General features: G+C 36.7%; 1 protein-coding gene across 6 annotated transcripts in view; it reads right to left on the reverse strand.

Moving 5' to 3' along the window:
- Nucleotides 1-12,553, reverse strand: part of TTC21B (tetratricopeptide repeat domain 21B) — an 80,415-nt gene that overhangs the window by 38,976 nt on the left and 28,886 nt on the right. For all 6 annotated transcript variants that reach the window (NM_024753.5, XM_047445870.1, XM_011511871.4 and 3 more), the window contains 6 exons: nt 12,212-12,341; nt 6,939-7,096; nt 4,920-5,144; nt 2,864-3,102; nt 1,237-1,309; nt 177-287 (listed from right to left, as the gene is read on the reverse strand). In NM_024753.5, the coding sequence (NP_079029.3) occupies nt 177-287; nt 1,237-1,309; nt 2,864-3,102; nt 4,920-5,144; nt 6,939-7,096; nt 12,212-12,341 (936 nt within the window). The remainder of the gene's footprint in view (nt 1-176; nt 288-1,236; nt 1,310-2,863; nt 3,103-4,919; nt 5,145-6,938; nt 7,097-12,211; nt 12,342-12,553) is intronic.

Consider the following 12,553-nt stretch of genomic DNA (forward strand, 5'->3'; position numbering starts at 1 on the left):
GAAGCAATGAAGAATCTGATAAATCTAAGAAGGCCTTTAACACAAATCCCAGTTCATAAATACAGATTTGGAGTTTACAACCATTAAAGATGCAAATGGTGCTCGCTGAAGCTTCTCGAGGACAGGGTATGATAAATTTGATGCAACAGACATATTTCAAACAATAAAGTACTTACCATTGAGTAGTTATGAGTTTTGATAAGTGCTTTGCCCATTTTGCTTGCCAATGTTCCATCTTTCGGGTTCTGATTTAATGCTTGCTCATATGCTACTATGGCTTCTTCAGGCTAATATTGCCAGACACAAAAAATAAGCAATAAAAAATAGCATAACTGGGTCCCATTAAAGGGCAACAGTTCTATAATTAATCTCTACATTTGTAATATTACATAAGACTTGGCATATATTAAAGCACAGGAACTTTAACAATTTCAAAAAGGTGATAAATGAGAAAAGCAGGTATGGATAGGTATAATTTATTAGGATAATTCTACCCATATTAACTGTGCTCTTGTCTATATAAATAACAATATGTGGACTAAGAGACACCATCTTGACTTTTCATTTCCAGAAGTCATTAAACTGCCAGTTATAGAGGGCTGAAGGATTGGTTCCCTTTGAAGAAAACACCACCTTAGTCTGTAGCTCCCTTTATCCTTCTGTATAAAGAAGAAGACTCCTAACATACCTCTGGTATCAACTCTACATTTTTTTTTTTTGAGATGGAGTTTTGCTCTGTCACCCAGGCTGGAGTGCAGTGGCGCAATCTTGGCTCACTGCAAACTCCACCTCCCAGGTTCAAGTAATTCTCCTGCCTCAGCCTTCCCAATAGCTGGGACTACAGGCAGGGCTAATTTTTTGTATTTTTTGTAGAGACGGGGTTTCACCATGTTGGCCAGGCTGGTCTTGAACTCTTGATCTCAAGTGATCCACCAGCCTTGGCCTCCCAAAGTGCTGGGATTACAGGCATGAACCACCGTGCCTGGCCTCATCTCTATTTCAAATAACAATAGTGCTGAATTACTGGATCTCAACTTTAAAAATAGAATCCATTTTTAAAAATTGATATCTCCCTTTTATTTTATTTATCCTTTAAAATGGATATCTCCCTTTTACTGTGATGGCTGGATCTTCAAATATTAAACATTATTTTAAAAAACATTCCTTTTAATAGGAAGTTGTACTCATCACAAATAATTTTTTAAAAATGCAGTTCAGTAACATCAGAAATTTTACCTCTAGAATATTCATGTATGCATCACCAAGGAGAAGAAAAGACCGAGGGTTAGCCATTCTTTCAGCAATTTCTCTGGAAATCAGACCAACATTACTTAGCATATTGAACACAGATATCTTCTTCCAAAAATAAAATAAAATAAAAAATAAGCTCCCTTATTTTAGTTAGCCAGTAGCCTTCAGAGTATCTCTATATACCCAACAGTGTAATATTATAAAAACCTCATGCATACCCACACCCAAATTGTTTATGCTAGATCAGCTATTTCTGTCACTGAATCTTTCCATTTTCTGAAATGCAGGTAACTGAGTTCAGATAGATAGTAAATATCTAGGTTCTCCTTATTTGGACCTACACATTTTGCTATGTTTACTTCTGAAATGATGTGGGAGTGAAGGTACCAAAAAAATGATGGGAGAATAAAATTTTACTGTCCTCCTATGCATCTTGAGCTCTGATACTCATGGCATAAATTATATGCTGAAATAAATTACCTTAAAAAAATACAAAATCTTCTATTTCAGTATTTGTTGCTTACATTTGACCTGAAAATGTAGACTACTAAAGGTCAAATTACCAAAGTTATTGAAATAATAATGTGGTGTTAAGTCTTTAACATACAGTATTTCATCTAACTGGTCCAAAAACTCTTGAGAATTATTATCCCAGTTTTACAGATGATGTTAAGAGTTGCAGCTGATGTGTCAGATCTTCCTGAAACAAAACCTATACTTTTAACTATTACATTATAGTACATCAAAAATAAATCAACCCTATTTTGAATTATTTTCATATCATTAGAGATGACAGTGATAATCTTCTGGAAATACCTTAGAAAACACAATCTAGGAACTCCAGTCCATCTGTCTAAACATGCGGTGCTGCTCAGTTTCTCTGAATCACTCAGTGCTTAAAAGAATCTGAGCAGCTTTTTGAGTTTGATATAATATAGATGAGCCAATACTGAATTACTTCATCAACAGTTTACTATGATCTCAAGAGCTAAAAACGTTAATTTTCTCTTACATAGAGTGTATGCTTCTATGTTTACCCTTCTGTTTGGGGAGAAGAGGAAGAGCAATCTGTGTGTGTGTGTGTGTGTGTGTGTGTGTGTGTGTGTGTGTTGTGTATCCCAATAACTCATAAGGGCATCAGTGTGACATACTTTTAAGGTCATGCTCTTTCACCAAGAAATATCTGTAATCCACACGTTAGCATGGTACATACTAAAATAACTTTTTTTTTCCTACAACTACTATATCGACTAATAAATACACCTGCCTATCCCGTAGATTATTGTTATATTACATGATGCTCTTAAGTTATTAGAACACAGGGTACAATTTCCCTTCTCAAACAGGAAGATCTAGGGTCTAAAAATAATATTTGATAAGGAGAGCTGAGAAACTACAGCAAGCCAGTTTGAAGGAATCATAATTATGTTTTAGGGAGAGCAAATAACTTGGTTAGAGTGATTGCAGTTGGTGGTAGAAGGAATCAGGACCACATTCAGAAAACGATCTGTAAAGTATTTGTGAAGCAGTTGAAAGAAAGTTAAAAAAAAATTGGGAATTAATACTAGTGGCTAAATGTATCAAAATATAATGGGTTAAGACAATTACTTACCTAAAACAAGTGATATATAACATTTTATCTTTTCTGTGCTTCAGATAAATATCTGCCATTTTTTCTCTGGCCTCTATAAAATAAGGCTGTTCGGCTGTAACATTCTGAAGGATGCTTAAAGCCCGTTCAATATCTCCTTGGGCTAGAGCAAGGTCTGCATTAGCAATGGTAACCCGCACTTCTTCAGATGTTCCAGAAAATTCATGGATGGCATCTTGTAAAACTTTGGTTGCCTCATGCTGTAAAGATGAAATTAAAATAATCATTCTTCCAAAATAGTGAACAAATAACACTAGAAAGGGAGATTTTCTCATAACGCAGAATGAATAAATGCTAGTACATTTATAATATTTACGAAATAAATTGATAGAATTTTCTGAAACCTCAAAAATTTAAAACTAAACCCATGACCAAAATCAGATGAGCCTGTAAATATTGTTAGCTAGATAAATGTTTTCACAACTAGGACAACAGCAGCTGCTACAGAGGGTCACTGCTACTATATTAATGAGCACTTACTAAGCACCCAGCATTGAATAATGAAGAGCTGTACACACTGGCTCTTCATTAAGTGGCAGATTATTCCCTCCACCAGAACACTGTTGTTACACTTTGGGTGAATATTCTACCTCATTTCCAAATGTGTACCTTGATGAATCTAAAATGTCATTTAAGAGTCATCTCAACTTCAGAGATTATAAGAATTCCAGAAATGTTAAAATGTAATTTAAGTGTACCTCAGAATCAACTTTATAGGGTATAATTGGCCTTACTTGTTAAATGTACTTTAAGTTAACTAGTAAAACAGAAATTCTCTCACACCTGTAATCCCAGCACTTTGGGAGGCCGAGCTGGGTGGATCACTTAAGCCCAGTAGTTTGAGACCATCCTGCATAACATAGGGAGACCCTCTACAAAATATTTTAAAAACTAGCTGGGCATGGCCCAGCTACTTGAGAGACTGAGATGGTAAAATCTCTTGGACCCAGGAGTTTGAGGTTGCAGTGAGCTATGATTGTATCACTGGATGCCAGCTGAGGAGACAGAGTGAGACCTTATCACTAAAAAATACAGTAAATAAATGGAAATTCTTTGTGATTTGGCAAATATTTAGAAATACAGCCTTCTTAATTTTCATTAAAATATGAAAAATAAGTGATTAGCAAGTGCTGCAACCTAAAACAACGGATACAAATGACTTTGAGTTCCTCATTTTCTACAAAGTTGTAATTCTCCCAGAATTACTTTCTATCTTATCGTATATATTATTATTTTTAAAAATATCTGACTTTATAATATTCCTATGAGTTTACCAAAGCTGTATTCATCAAGTATTTTGTCTCCTCATCTACTAGAATTTCAGGTTGGTACTTCCTTTTTATTTCAGTAGTTCTGGAGTGTGCATAAATGTGTGTTTGTGTTTATGTGTATAAATCTTTTTAGAGATTCATAGGATTATAACTGCATTATATTATTACATTCATGGTAACCAAGAGAGTTGTACATCATGTTATTATGTTCCATTGTAGCCAACATGAGCACACTGATACTTAAGGTCAACCAGGAGCAAATTATGCTTAACTTTCAGGGGCTTACAGGAAGTTTATTTTTAGTGCAAGGTAATGAAAATTAAATTTTTCTAAAGTTTACCACCTGGTCAAGGGAATACATTTAGCTTTTCATTTTTTTTCTCTGAGATGGAGTCTCATTCTGTCACCCAGGCTGGAGTGCAGTGGCATCATCTCGGCTCACTGCAACCTCCGCCTCCTAGGTTCAAGCGATTCTCCTGCCTCAGCCTCCCGAGCAGCTGGAACTACAGGTGCGCACTACCACATCCAGCTCATTTTTTTGTATTTTTAGTAGAGACAGGGTTTCACCATATTGGCCAGGCTGGTCTCGAACTCCTGACCTCAGATGATCCATCTGCCTCGGCCTCCCAAAGTGCTGGGATTACAGGTGTGAGCCACCATGCCTGGGCAGCTTTTCATTTTCTACTAATATATATGTTAGAATAAGAAAGTTCACATCCGAGCCCTTAAATTAAAACTTGACCTACCTGCTCTCCATTTAAGCGGTGAACGTCTATCAATTCAAGAAAGATCGATAAACGATGGCTTGTATCAACTTCAGTTTTTCTGTCTTTTGATTTTGTGGAAGCTCCAATTCTTTTCATTCCTGGTAAACTCATTGCCATATGCAGTGTTTTAATTGCGTCTGCTATTTCTCCCATTTTCTTTTGTGACTGAGCTTTTATCAAATGGTATAAAGGATAGTCTCTCACCTGAAGAATAATATTTAATATTTCCTTGGAGTGCTTACAACATCAACACATAATTTACAATCCATCAAACATTAAAATAATGAGATCACTGAGAACAGTCCATCTTTGATTGTATGCATGAGGTCTATCTCTGCCCTCTTATTAACCCTCTGATTATGTATCACATTAAATCGGATTCAGGAAAATTGCTTCTCCCTGCATCCTTTGAGATGACAAAGAGGTTGATTACATATTTCTACTGTGACAGAAGAGAAAGTGCAAACAAGCTTTATAAGGCTAGCAAATACATTCTAAGAGATTACTTGAATTTTCAGGAAAAGAATTTCTTTATCTGGCACTTCTACAACTGATATGAAGTTATTAGATTTCTAGAAACACTGTTTCTCCCCTTTATTTTTTTAATTTGAAGATTAAAAGTTTCAGGACATTTTAATCAAACATTGACCTTCCCCTTTGACACTACTCCTAAATATGTAGTTCTGAAGCTTCCATCTTTACGTTGGCTATCAACAGTATATACAGAAAACATAAGAAAATGATAAAAATGAGGTGGGAAAAAGAAGTCAAAGGGAAGGAGAGGACTCAGAACGAGGTGACGTGGCAGCCACCTAGCGATTAGGAAGTCTATAATCCTCCTGATGCTGAGGTTCTCAACCTTAGGCAGCCTGCACATTTGCTTACAGAGCTTCGTGTGAGACTCACGCTTGTGCTCCTTCCTCAGAGATTTTGACTCAGTAAAGGTGGGGCACCAGCACTGAGGCTCTGACATACCACTAGTCTTGAAAACCACTATCATAAGAAGCAGGTGATATTTTCTGCAATTTTTTTTTTGAGATGGAGTCTCGCTCTGTTGCCCAGGCTGGAGTGCAGTGGCGTGATCTCAGCTCACTGCAAGCGCTGCCTCCCAGGTTCACGCCATTCTCCTGCCTCAGTCTCCCGAGTAGCTGGGACTACAGGCACCCGCCACCACGCCTGGCTACTTTTTTTGTATTTTTAGTAGCGACGGGTTTTCACTGTGTTAGCCAGGATGGTCTCGATCTCCTGACCTTGTGATCTGCCCACCTCGGCCTCCCAAAGTGCTGGGATTACAGGCGTGAGCCACCACGCCCGGCCTTCTGCAAATCTTAATTAGGATTCTCTAATTCACTGAAGGGTTCTCTCTTAACAGGGTCCATGACCCTGTGAAGCAAAGCAGAAGTTTTCAGAGCTCCTCCATGACTTGAGGTAGTTCAGGAAGCAACTGAACCTAGGATTTTCCCTAACGTTGAGGGGATACTGGATATAACACATAATATCTTGGATAGAAAAGTACTGTGTTTTTATATCCTCAAACCACAAAATTACTTTCAAAATGACAAGATGTTCTTTCACAATGAATCTAAAAAGAAGTTATTAAAAACTAAGGTCCAAGAAATAAACAGACAATTATTATCTTTATACATAAAAATATTTGACATAAGGATCATCATTTTTATATACCTTCATTATTGCATTTAATTCTCATTGTAACAGCAGAGTATTAGTAAATGAGTTTTACAGAAAAGAAAACTGAGGCTCAGAGAGAAGTGAAAGACCAGACATTAACCTCAGGATTTTTGTCACCAAGTCCACATAGTTTTTTACCCATACCTGAATTGCCTCAATTTTTCCTCCTACTGCTTGTGAGTTCCATTTTTTTTTCCATTAAAAATGCAACTGTTAGCAAAATACTACAGGCTAAAACACAAAATACTTGAATATGTAAGCTTTCAAGGAGGGTGATATGTCTTATCCACTTCAGTCTGGAATACTTACCTTAAAATCATAGCTCAGACAAAGTTCAAGAGACTGAGAACACAATTTGACTTTTTCTTGAGACAAGTAAACCTGAGCTAGCAGCAGATGAGCATCAGCATAAGAGGGATTGTGTTCTAAGCAGTGCTGAAGGTTATTGAAAGCTGCTTCAATATCACCTAATAAGAAAAACAATGCATTGTTATAATTCAAATGATTAAGAAATGGAGATCTGAGAGGGAAGAGGAAGAAGAGTGTTTAGTTTACGGATAGCCCTAGTGTTTGTAAACTTAAAGTTTGCTGTTCATAGGCCATGGTTTAATTCCATCTGCACTAGTTAGCTTCCTTCTAGTCTACATGAATGAATACACCTGCAAGTCAGGCAAGTTCTTGATCCTAACGAACAAGCCAGGGAAAGCAGGAAAGGATGAGAGCCAAGCACTGGTGTTACTGAGAGGCCAATAAACGGACCTTTATTTTCCTTGTCAAAAAAAGGTTTTATTTATAATTTCATTAAAATAAATTATGTAGAACAAAAACATTTGAATAGCTAGAATTTTGTTGTGTCACTTATGTTAACAAAGAGGATATCAGTCTAGTAATCATTCTTGGTCAAAAATTCTATTACTACTATACATAAAATAACAAAAAAGGCCTAAGGATATACTTCAGAGATTCAGAAATATGAGTTATAGATTTAAAATACCTTTAAATACCAATGGAAATAATGCCAGTTATATATCTGGGAGTCTTAAAATAGAAGGAAATAATCAAGATTAAAGTGACAGGAATTGAGGAATTGACCTCGGGCTGATAGATGCGGTAAGAAGAGGCTCTTCAGAGGAAAACACTGCATTGATTCTAAGTCTTAGAAGTTTCTCATGATGTAACCCGCACTGATCTGCACTTAAGTCACCTCATAAATGGGCCTTAAGAAGATGTAAGTAGGCTAACTCCCCATTCAACCTTGCTAGGAGAATGTGGGAAGAAGAGAGCCTAAATGATTTTCTGTTCATTTATGCCCCTCAAACTCACCTGATGCCTCAGTCAACAAAATAAGGCTTAACTTACTGGTAACAGACATGCACTGAGACTGAAAATGTTCTTCTCAGAGACAGAAGATTAATAGAAAACTAACTGGCTGAGATAGCATAATGACTTACTAAACATGGCATCAAAGTTTAGCAATCAACCGTCAAGCATAATTAACAAGGTTAGATTCTTAACTTATTGTGATACAATCCAACACTCAAAACTGCACAGGTACAAAAAGGAAGAGTTAGGCATAATAAATTTGTGTGAAAATTCTTTTAGCAAGGAGAAGGACTAAGGCGATAATTTGAAGAAACAGGTTGTACTAACAGGAGAAAGTGCATAGAGAATTAGGGTTTGCAACTAAGAGAATGAAGAAAATGAGTGCCGTATGAGTAACAGAAATGAGAATCTTTGTTTCTTTTAAGGGTGAGGAGATGGATATGTAGGGTAGGATACTAAATATTTAAAATATTTTGAAATATTTTAAATATTTAAAATATTTTGAAGGATACTAAATATTTAAAAATGAGAAGTGGGTCATTACTTTTGAGGAAAATAGACCCTGTCACCAGAGATCAACACCAACATCACATTCTTTCTAAGAGCAGTCCAACTTCCCTTGAGTGAAACTGAAAGACATTTCAGTCCTGTCTGTCTGTCTTTGTCAGAATTCTGGGTAATAAAGCATTTGGCTGACGTTTGTCTTGGGTTCCTGGAAGGAGACTCTAACTCTTCAAATTTCCCTCATGTTAGGGATTTCTGTGTTATTCATTATGGACCCTGATAGTTTATCCTAATTAAGAGAATCATGGTGTGCCCCTGGATAGTTTATGCTAAAGATATGACTTGGAATGGGGGCTAGCTGTGCCAGAAAGACCAACCCTGTGATTAGAGGGTTGGTGCTTAGAGCCACATTATCAGTTGGTGGGGGACTGGAGATTGAATTCAATCATATGGCCAATGATTTAATCCATGCCTATTTAATGAAATCCCAATAAAAGCTAGGGACACCAAACCTTGGTGAGCTTCCCTGGTTGCTAATACTCTGATTGTCACACATTGACATGTCAGGAAGGTGATGTCTCCTGACTCCATGGGGAGAGGGCAATGGAAGCTTTACATCTGGGACCCTATCAGACCTCACCCTGTGCATCTCTCCCTGTTGCTGATTTGGGTTAGTATCCTGTTGCTATAATAAAACTGTAATTTCAAGTCTAGTGCTTTCTTGAATTCTGTGATTCATTCTAGTAAATTAATGAAACTGAGGGACCTCCAAATTTGCAGCTAGTCAAAAGCACAGGAGGCTCTAGGAGTGCCCAAATCTGTGGCTGGTGTCTGAAGTCAGGGCAGTTTTATGGGGGACTGTGCCCTTAACCTTTGATGTTTGGCCCAACTCCAACTAGTTGGTGTCAGAAGTCATTGCAGTTGGCAATTTAGCAAAAACACTACTACTTAGACACATGCTAGCAGTATTTCACATGAGTTAAGGCTGCTCTTCCTTTTTTTTTTTTTTTTGGTTACTAGAAATTTTCTTAATCTTTTTTTTTATTTCAATAGGTTTTTGGGGAACAGGCGGTGTTTGGTTACATGAATAAGTTATTTAGTGGTGATTTCTGAAATTCTGGTGCACTCATCACCCAAGCACTGTACCCAATGTACATAGTCTTTTATCCCTCCCTCACTCTCCTCCCACCCTTTCCCCTGAGTCCCCAAAGTCCATTGTATCATTCTTACGTAGGCTGTTATTCTTAAAAATGGGATTAATATAAGAAATTTTCAAGACTAGAGACTTTAACAATTAAGTATTACTAGATTGACATATAAATTTTCACAATATAAATACTTAATAAATTATAGGAATCAAAGTCCCAGTCTAATTATTTAGTAGGCGATACCCCTTCCAATTAGGAGAAAAGCTGAAATATCATGTGGCTTAATAGTACAATTCAATCAGAAAGTATTAGTGTCACTTCTTACAATTGAAATATTTTAGAGGTAAAACAACCCTCTGACATCATCTAAATTTTTTTTAACAGTTAAAACAGAAGTCCATAATTTCCACAATCTATAGGGAATCCAAACAAATCATCAAGAAAAAAAAATCCCATTAAAAAGTGGGCAAATGACATGACTAGACATTTATCTAAAGAAGATATACAAATGGCCCATAAACATTTTTAAAAAATGCTCAACGTCACTGATCATCAGGGAAATGTAAATTAAAACTATAGTTAGGTACCACCTTACCACAGCCGGAATAGCCACTATTAAAAAGTCAAAAAAAAAAAAAAAAAAAAGACGTTGGCATGGATGTGGTCAAAGGGAACACTTATACATTGCTAGTGAGAATGTAAATTAGTACAACCTCTTTGGAAAATAGTATGAAGATTTCTCAAAGAACTAAAAGTAGATTTACCATTCAATCCAGAAATCCCACTACTAGATATCTACCCAAAGGAAAAGAAATCATTATATCAAAAAGTCACCTGCATGTGTATGTTTCTTGCAGTACAATTCATAATTGCAAAGACATGGAACCAACATAAGCGTCCATCAACCGATGAGTGGACAAATAAAATGTGGTCTATATATACACCACAGAACACTACTCAGCTGTAAAAAAGTAATGAAATAACGTGTTTTATAGCAACCTGGATGGAACTGGAGGCCATTAATATAAATGAAGTAATTGAGGAATGGAAAACCAAATACTGTATGTTCTCACTTGTAAGTAGTAGCTAAGCTATGAGTATAAAGGCAAACAGAGTGATATAGTGGACTTTGGAGACTTAGAAGAGGGAGGATGGGAAGAGGGTGTGGGATAGAAAGCTTCATATTGGGTACAATGCACACTACTCATGTGATGGATACACTAAAATTCCAGACTTCAGCACTATACAATTCATCCATGTATCCAAAAACTATTTGTACCCAATACAAATAAAAAATTGAAATAAAAAATAAAAAAATAAAGAAAACAGAGGTCCAAGGAAGCAGTAAAGACAATCTCATCACTCCATTATATTACAGGAAATAACTATTCATGAAAATACCTTTAAGTTGGTTTCTGCTCTTAACAGTTTTACAAACGTTATTTACTTTTATAGCATTCAGTTGGCAAAGGTACATACAGACAAGCATAATATGATGGTCTTTTTTTTTTTTTTTTTTTTCCAAGACAGAGTCTCACTCTGTCACCCAGGCTGGAGTGCAGTGGCACGATCTGCTGACTGCAAGCTCCACCTCCCGGGTTCACGCCATTCTCCTGCCTCAGCCTCCCGAGTAGCTGGGACTATAGGCGCCTGCCACCATGCCTGGCTAATTTCTTGTTTTTAGTAGAGACAGGATTTCACCATGTTAGCCAGGATGGTCTTGATCTCCTGACCTCGTGATCCACCTGTCTGGGCCTCCCAAAGTGCTGGGATTACAGGCATGAGCCACCACGCCCAGCTGGTTTTTTTTTTTTTTTTTTTTTAATGAGACAGGGTCTCACTCCCATCACTGACGCTGGAGTGCAGTGGCGTGATCCTGGCTCAATGCAGCCTCAACCTCCCTGGGCTCAGGTGATCCTCCCACTTCAGTCTCCTGAGTAACTGGGGCTACAGGCACATGCCACCAAGCCCAGCTAATTTTTGTATTTTTTTGTAGAGATGAGGTTTCTCCATGTTGCCCAGGCTGGTCTTGAACTCCCAGGCTCAAGTAATCTGCTCGCTTTGGCCTCCCAATGTGTTGGGATTACAGGTGTGAGCCACCGCACCCAGCCATGATGGTCTATTTTTATGTGTAAAGTCAGGCATTTGTCTGTGCCTTAGAAAACTAAGGTTATAAACGGATTGTTTTTATTTTAAGCTATCCATAACAATTCACAGAAACTAAACAAGAATTACTCAGTACTTTTCATTAGGGCCTGAAATCTGGCAAATGTTGCATTTGGTTATACCAGTAAGAACACAACCATGGATTAATGACTGTAAATTCTTATTGCTAGTCTCCAGTAATTTCTGACAGACTTTTTTTTAAAGTGGTATAACTGCATTTTCCCAGCAATTCGCTTAAGCCACACAAGTTTATAGTAATTTTTAAAGGATTAAAGAGTAAGTTATGCAATTCTATTTTGGATTAAAATTACTTATCTATGCATATATAAAATGTACATTTTATGTGACTATTCTCTATATATACACAGTGCTTAATTTATTTACGCTTGTTTTTATCAACATCAGAATAAAAAGGTTAAAAGTTTTTAAGGTATACTCTACCTGACAAATATTTCACTTTTGCTATTAGGAAGACTGTTTGCAGAAGACCTGGAACAGTTCTTACTACAGTCTCCAGGACTGAGATGCAACGCCTGAGAAGTGGACAAAGAGGTTGCCCAGGACTTGCAGGCTAAACAAAACAAATCAGCAGATCATTTTATAAGTGTAAAAATAATATTTACCTAAAATAAACATATATTAATTTTAGTATAACTAACCAAGCTATATACATTTTTCTAAAATTTCTTTGATTTAACTTATTTTGTAATACCTTTATTATGACTTAACTAATACTAATTTATTTCCCTGGGATCTATGAACAGACAATGCAAATAATGGCTC

Source organism: Homo sapiens, chromosome 2 (genome assembly GCF_000001405.40).
Source record: "Homo sapiens chromosome 2, GRCh38.p14 Primary Assembly".
Classification (NCBI taxonomy): domain Eukaryota; kingdom Metazoa; phylum Chordata; class Mammalia; order Primates; family Hominidae; genus Homo; species Homo sapiens.